Raw genomic sequence first — 9,298 nt, 5'->3', positions numbered from 1 at the left:
TAGTAGAGATGAGGTTTCACCATGTTAGCCAGGATGGTCTCGATCTCCTGACCTCGTGATCTGCCCGCCTCAGCCTCCCAAAATGCTGGGATTACAGGCGTGAGCCACCGCGCCCGGCCATAAACATTCTTATAACAAAACTTCTGTTGTGCCTATCATTACACTCCCTTTCCACTTCTATCATTGTATATTTGTGGTTTCTCATAATCAGACTTGTAAGAAGTTTCTCTATTTCATTGTTCTTCAAACTAACAACTCCTGGTTTTATATATGAAGCCTATTTTTCTTTTTCTAATAAATTAGATTCTGCTTTTATCCTTTCATTAATTCTTAATTTCTCCTTCATATTATTTTGTTGTTCTTTCTACTTTCTTTCAAGTATTTCAACATTTCATGTTCATTAATAAATGCATTTAACTTTATGGATTTTCCCTTGAATATGTTAATATCTTTTACCATATATTTTCATTTGTTAATGTCTAAATTATCTATAATTTCAGTTTTGATTTCCTCTTTGACTTAAATTTGTATGAATATTGCCAAGTAATGTAATTGGGTGGGAGGGAAAGTTGCCTTTTCTTATCGATTTCCTGTTTTATTTCACTGCAGTCAGAGAATGTGACAGTAAAAAAGGTGTAATTTTTACCTTTTCAAATATCTGTTTGACAAGAATATATATTTTCAAGCTTACTAAGTATATCCATAATTCAGACTCTCCTTATCTTAGTTATTTTGCTCTATGTATTCTGTAAATCCAGAGGAAGATTTATTAAAATTTCCATTCTAATTGCGATTTTGTCAAATTTTCTATGTATTTCTAACAATTTTTACTTTAATTGTTATATCTATAAATATTCACAACTATTATAACATCTTCTTCATGGACTATACTTTTGTCAAAATGAAATATCCTTCCTGGCCAGGTGCGGTGGCTCATGCCTGTAATCCAAGCACTTTGTGAGGCCTAGGTGGGCGGACCACCTGAGGTCAGGAGTTCAAGACCAGCCTGGCCAACATGGTGAAACCCTGTCTCTACTAAAAATGCAAAAAATTAGCTGGCGTGGTGGGTGTGCACCTGTAGTCCCAGCTACTCGGGAGGCTAAGGCACCAGAATCGCTTGAACCTGGGAGGCAGAGGTTGCAGTGTGCTGAGATCCAGCCTTGGAGACAGAGTGAGACACAGTCTCAAAAAAAAAAAAAAAAAGAAATACCCCTTCTTATTCTAACTTTTTGCCTTAGATGCTGTCTTGTCTGATATTAATTTTACCACCTTTATTTTTTGCAGGGGGAGGCTTGTTTGCTGTGTTTGTCTAGTCCTTTATTTTTATTTTTAGTGTTTTTAGTTTTGTTTAAATACGTCTTGTTAACGACAGCTAATTTTGTTCTTTAAAGAAATCATTTGAAAGGAGTTAGCAGGAACTTTAGCATATTCACATTTACTATGGCCACTGTGTTTCCATCACATTTTAAATTCCTGCGTGGGGATCTCCCAGCATGCAAGGATCCTTTGTCTAACTGGAGAGACAAAGAAGTAATGCAGATGATTTGAGCTCCTAGAATGTTGGCCTTCAGAATTTGTCTAATCCAATCTTCTCTTTGACTTATGAGGAAACAGAAGGATACCAGATCATGCCATTTAATGGCAAAGCTTGAACTAGCAGCTAAATTTGAACATAAGACTGTGATATCTAACATAATTTCATGAAGATCTTGTTAGGGTGAAATTAAATCAGTTATAAGTCAGTACTGGCTTTCGCCCTTTTTGGAAAATTTATGGCATTGTTTGGCACTCAATAATGTTTAATGTCATTGCACATTTAAAAGCACAGTGTAGTCTGCTGTTTCTCAAGGAGTGACCCTGTACTGCTGAAGGCACAAATAAACATTTTTAGATATATTCCTGTACGTTAGGACAAATATGTATTTGTTATACACATTAAGGAGTATTATGACTTAGAATAACACTAAGATAAAAGTGGGTCAGTCTAAAGAAAAATATTAAAGAAATAGCACAGGTGACAGTATGAAAAATATGAAGGACAAGTTTGGGAAATATTGGTTTCAGGATAAAAACGTTTTCAGAATAAGAAAACTGGTTTGATATCCTGGGTCTGCCCTTTGTGAGGATTAGATAAGACGTGAAATGCCTGGCTTAGTAAATCTTTGGCTGTATTTTCTCTAATTTATCTTATGTTAGTCCTGTCTCCTTAATTAGATTGTAAAAACTTTCAATGACAGAACAAAATACAGGTTGCAAAGCAATAATCACTATAATATGAGATGTTTATATTCCAGAAGAAAAGTGGTCACAATGAGCCAACCACAGCCTGGTTATTTCTGAACAGGATCCAATTTTTATTTTTGCAAACTCATTATAGTCATCAACTGTACTGGCACCAACATTGAATAGAGGTTTAATGATACTATAGGTAAGGCATATAGCAACGTCAATGGAAATGATCTTTGCTCTCTACATGATTACAATCTAAATTAGTCTCCATATTGTGCTAATTATAGGGACACTTGGCTATGCTTTTAACTAGATGTACGAATTGGTTAGTTATTTGGGTCTCAGTTTCCTCAACTGCATAAAAACTGTTGTACTGGATAACTTGTGAGGTTTCTTGGCCAGGTACAGTGGCTCATGTCTGTAATCCCAACATTTTGGGAGGTTGAGGCAAGAGGAAGGCTTGAGGTGAAGAGTTTGAGACTAGCCTGGACAATATAGTATGACCGCATCTCTACAAAAATTAGCTGGGCATGGTGGCACATGCCTGTAGTCCTAGATGCTTTGGAGGCTAAAGGCAAGGATTGCTCGAGCCCAGGAGTTTAAGGCTGCAGTGGGCTCTGATCATGCCGCTGAACTCCAGCCTAGGTAACAGAATGAGATCCTTTCTCAAAACCAAAAAACAAAAATCCCTGTAGGTTTTCTGACAATTCCAATGTATTATATAACTCTCCTGTTGGATTCCCCTAAGTAAATACTGTTAATTAATTAATCAATTGATTAATGCACTCATGCAAAGAGATATGTGCACTTACTCTGTGCCAGACACTGTTAGAGAAACATGGTACCCACTGTTCTCAAAGAGCCCACTTAATAAATGCCCGTCAATCACTTTTTGATCTGACTAAGAAACAGTAGGGTTTATCTTAAGAAAATCATTATATTGTGTAACTGTTTGGGGGTGGAAAATAATATTAAACAATTAGCTCTCACAAACTGACAAAATATTTGCTTCATGAGAAAAATTTTAGAGGACATTTTTTCTGGAAACAAACCAAAACAGTCTGAATGAGGCGATTCTGGAAATCCAGTTTGAAAGCAACACCACCAGTTCACACCTGGGTCTGTCCAGCCTGTGCTAAATTCTACAGCAAGAGTCAAGTGAAAGAGAAGAGACAGTCTTGCAGAGCTTTTGACTAGTGGGGGCCACAAGATGTACTTGCAGTGCCCCCCACCTAAGAGCTCACAGAGCAATTCTGTGCAAGTTAGGAAAAAGCGCCTCCTCCAGGCAGACAAATTACAAAATGGCGCCCCATCAGGGCAACCAATTAGATAAAGATACCCTTCTCCAGACTGCCCTAACAAGGGTATATCTTGGCAAGAGCGCACAGGCTGATTTCAGTCCCACTCACCCCCTTCTGTAGTGTGGCTTTGTGCAGAGCACAGACTACAAGACCTGTGCAGCAGCCTGGCTTATGGGGAGCAATTGAATAACAGTTCTAAACACACTGGGGGGATCCTCATGTGGCTTAAACTGTGACCCTGTGAAAAAGCAGTTTTAAAGATTTCTAACTCTACCAATCTTTTCAAATTGAGTAATGTTCTTAGTCTAAGAAGGAAGTTTCCTCACAGTGCCTGAAAAAACATGGCTTCAGAAACAAGCTGCCTATTCACATTAGGCTTTTGTCCAGAGATTACTGCCATTTCAGCAATGAGACACCCAGACAGTGTGGGGGTTAAATGTTTTAAGATTCTCTTCCACTGAAGGCTGGATCTTGTTGCCTAGTGACTGCTGCGTTGCTTGCTGCTGTCACTCACCTTGTCTCCGGAGTTATCCTACTCCCATACGGAAGGTTATGATTGGACAAAGGTGACATCATAGCAAATAAAAGAATGGCATCTCTTTGTCAAGACAGCACCAATAAGATGACTCAAGAGTTGGTAGCAAAGTGTTTCGGTTCCTTTGTTTCGTTTCTTTAACATAGAGCTAATAAATTTGATGAAACATTTTCTCCATTTCTTTCGGAACCAATATTGCAGGTATTAGTAGTGAATTTTTGCCCATAAAAATATTTTTTGACAGCATATGGATTGTCTTCTCATCAATTTAATCAATCCTAGCGCAGCCAAAGCCATTCTCTGCCAAGCACTTGGTCAGCACTCGAGAAGCTGAATAGATTACAGGCAGAAAATGACTAGCAGGCAGCTCATTATCACACCATTGGTTACAGAGTGGAATTTCACACAGGGGAGGTTCTGCTTGGTGCTTATCTGAGAAGTACCTAAAGTGGTTCCAAAGCATCAATTTCAAGGACAGCCTTATAATAAGACTTCAGAGTACCTACATGAGGCATCGAAAGAGTAAAAGAAAAAGAATCGATTAAAGTTGAAAACATTATCTACTTTTAATATCAAGCAGTTGGCGAAATCTCACACATGTTTAGATAATAAACAAACATAAGTTCTTTGATTACTTTTGAATTGACTTCACACATTTTGCAGTGCTTCAAAAATCAAGCCTGATAGTCTCTTATTTTATTTTTAGATTTATACCATGTACTCTTGAATATTTCAGCCATTGAAGATATTAGTTATGCAACTGCAGTGTTGGTTGCAGGTTCATTATTGCCAAGCTGCTATATTAAATCATCTGTTAACTGCTTTCTTTTCTTGGTAAATATTCAGGATACAGCATAGCCACAGCTGCTATAATTGAATAATTGCTTCCAATTAATGCTCTATTTCAAAAGCTGCAACTCCATATAGAGCTTATAGTTGAGTCGTAACAAAGGCAAACCCCCAAGGGAAACAGAAGAGAGTGAGAATTCCTTTCTGCAATTCTACTAGAAAGCAATTAGAGAGAGAGAGAGAGAATACTAATGAATTATATATGGCCATGCTTTTACCTCCACTGATAAAGAGACTGTAGTATGTCAGCTGAAATGTATCAGTACACCATTGCCTCTTCCAACAGCTGGCTGAAAGTATTTAAACATTGTAATTTCTCATTTGAATAATCAACGATTGTTCTTAAAATGAATTAAAGCTGACTATACATTTCCTGGGGAAAATTCATTTAAAAGAAGGGAAAGATAGTATTTACACAGAATCAAATTACAAGGAAACACAGAATTATCATCATATGCTTTCATTCAAGAAAAAACAATTTATATATAATTTCCTTTAAAAATTCAGATTGGTGTGCAAGTGAAGGCAGAAAGTGGGTGGCAGTCCTTTAAATTAAATCAATATGATGTCAGGTGAAGTTTTCCTACTGACATGCTTCTTGTTCATTTGACTAGAAAGATACCAAAACATCTGAGTTCTTAAAGTGTGTGCTGGCTGGCAGTTACTTGAAAGATTAGTAAGTGTTTCAGCCAAATTATGTTGTTGTAGAATTGATAGGACTATAATTTGATCAAGATTCAGCTTCTTACTTACTTTTACTCTGCTTATTAAGAGATGCAATACTGTAAGCATTCTCTTAAGGGCTTACTTGAGAATGCTTGAATTACTTAATGAAATCTATCAGGTAGGCTAATTGTAAAGTTACTCTTCTCTATTCCCTTAATGTCCTAAAAAACTTGGATGGTTTAGTTCCAATTACATTTAAAAGCAGTAAGTATATATTTTAATATACTTTTCAATAATGTAGGCTGACCTTTAAACAAATGAGAATAGGTAAGATTTTACCATATAAAACCATTTGTTAATAAAGTAAAGTAATCTTTGGGAGGACAGGGCAGGAGGATCGCTTGAGGCTAGGAGTTCAAGACCAGCCTGCACAACACAGTGAGATCCCATCGCTACAAAATAAAAAATAAAATAAAAAGAAATTAGCAGGGCATGGCGATGCATGCCTGTAGGCCTAACTACTCAGGAGACTGAGGTGGGAAGATTGCATGAGCTCAGCAGTGTGAGGTTACAGTGAGCTATGATCGTGCCCCTGAAATCCAACCTGGGTGACAGGGCAAGACTCTGTCTCTAAAAAAAAATAAGTAAATCATTAAATAAGGTGCAGTAATATGGATATCAGTTTAGAGAAACAACTCCTTCTTTCTTAACTTCCTGATTGTACGTTTCATGATTTAGGAGTTATTTTGGCTTGAAGGGTAACTATAACAGATTATAGTACATAGGATATACTGTTTTGTCAGAAGGTATTTGACTAAGAATTTGTATTTAAGATTTGCTATGAGCAGTCTTCAAATCTCATGACACAATGGTGACTTTTTAAAATGTACATTTGGTTCCCTGCTCCCCTGATCTTAGGTTCTAAGTTCTTACCACAGCACCAGCAGAGCTCCACACATGACATGGTCCTGGAACCTGAATGTTTCTCAGTTGTCATCTCCTACCAGTCTTACCATCGCAGTTTCCTCCGGGTACAGTAACTCTTACTCTTGCAGTTCCTGTAAACACATCAAAGGGCTGCACTTCCTTTATCTTCCCTGGTTCCTGCCTAGAGGCTCCTCCTGCAGATACTTGCAGTCTCCTGCACATCATTCCATGCCCTGCTCTGCTCAGATGCCCAACTTGTCTAAAATAGCAACCGTCAACCTGATTCTACTTCCTCTTCCTCACCTTATTTTTCTTCATAGCATTTATGACTTCTGATATTTTATTGCAATTTCTTATTTTATCTATTCTCCTCCCACTAGAAGATAAGCTCCATGAGGGCAGAGGCTTGTCGTTTTGTTCACTACCAACAAGGCCCAATACAGTGGTGGGGCTTTGATAAGTGCTTCATGTACTGGGCGCGGTGGCTCACACCTGTAATCCCAGCACTTTGGGAGCCGAGGCAGGCGGATCACATGAGGTCAGGAATTCGAGACCAGTCTGACCAACATGGAGAAACCCCATCTCTACTAAAAATACAAGAAAACTAGCCGGGCGTGGTGGTGCATGTCTGTAATTCCAGCTACTCGGGAGGCAGAGGCTGGAGAATTGCTTGAACCTGGGAGGCAGGAGGTTGTTGTGAGCCGAGACTGCGCCATCACACTCCAACCTGGGCAACAAGAGTGAAACTCCATCTAAAAAAAAAAAAGTGCTTCGTGTTCTGGCCCGGTGTGGTAGCTCATGCCTATAATCCCAGTGCTTTGGGAGGCCGAGGCAGCTGGATCACTTGAGGCCAGGAGTTCGAGACCAGCCTGGCCAATATGGAGAAACCCTGTCTATACTAAAAATACAAAAAAAAAAAAAAAATAGCCGGGCAAGGTGGTATGTGACTGTAGTCTCAGCTACTTGGGAGGCTGAGGCATGAGAATTGCGTGAATGTGGGAGGTGGAGGTTGCAGTGAGCCAACATTGTACCACTGCACTCCAGCCTGGAAATCCCATCTCAAAAAAAAAAAAAGTGCTTCATGCTGATTTGTTTAGCAAATGAATCAGTGGCCAAACATGTTCTTGTGCTTGCATATTCCTATAATCTAGAGGCAGTAAATCCTGGTAATTAAGGCACAAATTCTGGAATCAGACTTGGTTTTTTTAATCATTTACTAACTAGTGCAACCATGGGCAATTTAAACTCCTCAAGTCTGTGTTTCTTCATCTATAAATGGTAACATTTACCTCATTAACTTCATAGTGTTGATGTGAGGATTAAATGAAATAACAAACAATATATAAATGCTTGGCTTGGTGATTGCCATGCTTGGCAAATAGTAAATACTCAATAGGTAGTAGTTATTCCATTCCATTCCATGTATTCTCTTTCTTTTTTTTTTTTGGAGATGGAGTCTCTATCACCCAGGTTGGAGTGCTGTGGCGTGATCTTGGCTCACTGCAACCTCCATCTCTCAGGTTCAAGCGATTCTCCTGTAACAGCCTCCTGAGTAGCTGGGAGTACAGGTGCCCACCACCATGCCTGGCTAATTTTTGTATTTTTGGTAGAGATGGGGTTTTACCATGCTGGCAGGGCTGGTTTCGAACTCCTGATTTCAGGTGATCCTTCTGCCTCGACCTTTCAAAGTGCTGGAATTACAAGCGTGAGCCGCTGCACCCGGCCTACATTCCATTAATATTCTTAATGAAGTTTTTTTTCAAAAAGGCCATTGAACTTCTAGTGACTGATTCCCCACATCCACCCAACCCTCCTCAGAAACCTTTTAATATTTCTTTCTTTTTCTTATTTATTTATTTATTTATTTATTTATTTATTGAGACGGAGTCTCACTCTGTCACCCAGGCTGGAGTGCAGTGGCGCGATCTTGGCTCACCACAACCTCTGCTTCCCAGGTTCAAGCAATGCTCCTGCCTCAGCCTCCCAAGTAGCTGGGATTACAGGTGCACACCACCACGCCCAGCTAATTTTTGTATTTTTCGTAGAGACGGAGTATCACCATGTTGGCCAGGCTGGTCTTCGACTCCTGACCTCAGGAGATCCACCTGCCTTGGCCTCCCAAAGTGCCGGGATTACAGGTATGAGCCACCGCACCCAGCCGCCTTTTAATACTTCTCTCTAATCCATCTCATATTCTACATGGGAGTCATTAGTATGAGTTGAAGGTTTTTTTATTCAGCCATCAGCTCTGGAAGTAATAGAAATTGTCCAATTTATTTCAGTTTTTCATGTTAATAACAAATTTGTATTATTTCTCTTACTCTGCAGGTCAAGCAGGACAAATTATTTTTGTTTTGCAAACACTGACTTAGAATACCAAGAAGCTCTTCTCCCTTCTGCTGTATATGCATGATTCTTAATGCTCCCCACCCAAGCCCGTGTCCTAGGCAATCACTGATCTGGTTTCTGTCACTATAGAGAGGATTAGATTTGTCTTTTTAAAAATTTCATGTTAACGGAATCACATATGTGTATTCTTTTGAGATTGGTTTCATACACATTGTATCAGCAGTTTGTTTCTTTTTATTTCTGAAAAAAATTAAAAGTTTTTTGCCCCATTGTAGGAATTCAGCATAATGTGTTTATTCACCTGTTTTTATTTTTTAATTTTAATTTTGTTTTGTTTTGAGATAGGGTCTCAGTCTGTTGCCCAGGCTGCAGTGCAGTGGTGTGATCACGGCTCACTACATCCTTTGCCTCCTGAGTAGCTGGGACTACAGGTACACAACCA

At 38.9% G+C, this 9,298-nt stretch overlaps 1 annotated feature.

Annotated features, from left to right (window-relative positions):
* Positions 1,058-1,204: a silencer, noted in NCBI's record as "fragment chr2:48628408-48628554 (GRCh37/hg19 assembly coordinates)". NCBI's record gives its function as "represses an EF-1alpha promoter that drives an FKBP-Casp9 reporter gene in an ReSE screen in HepG2 liver carcinoma cells {active_cell/tissue: HepG2}" and the evidence as "EXISTENCE:reporter gene assay evidence [ECO:0000049][PMID:32094911]".

Source organism: Homo sapiens, chromosome 2 (genome assembly GCF_000001405.40).
Source record: "Homo sapiens chromosome 2, GRCh38.p14 Primary Assembly".
Taxonomy (NCBI): Eukaryota; Metazoa; Chordata; class Mammalia; order Primates; family Hominidae; genus Homo; species Homo sapiens.
Note: the sequence above shows the minus strand (reverse complement) of the source record. Positions and strands in the feature narration are given on the sequence as shown.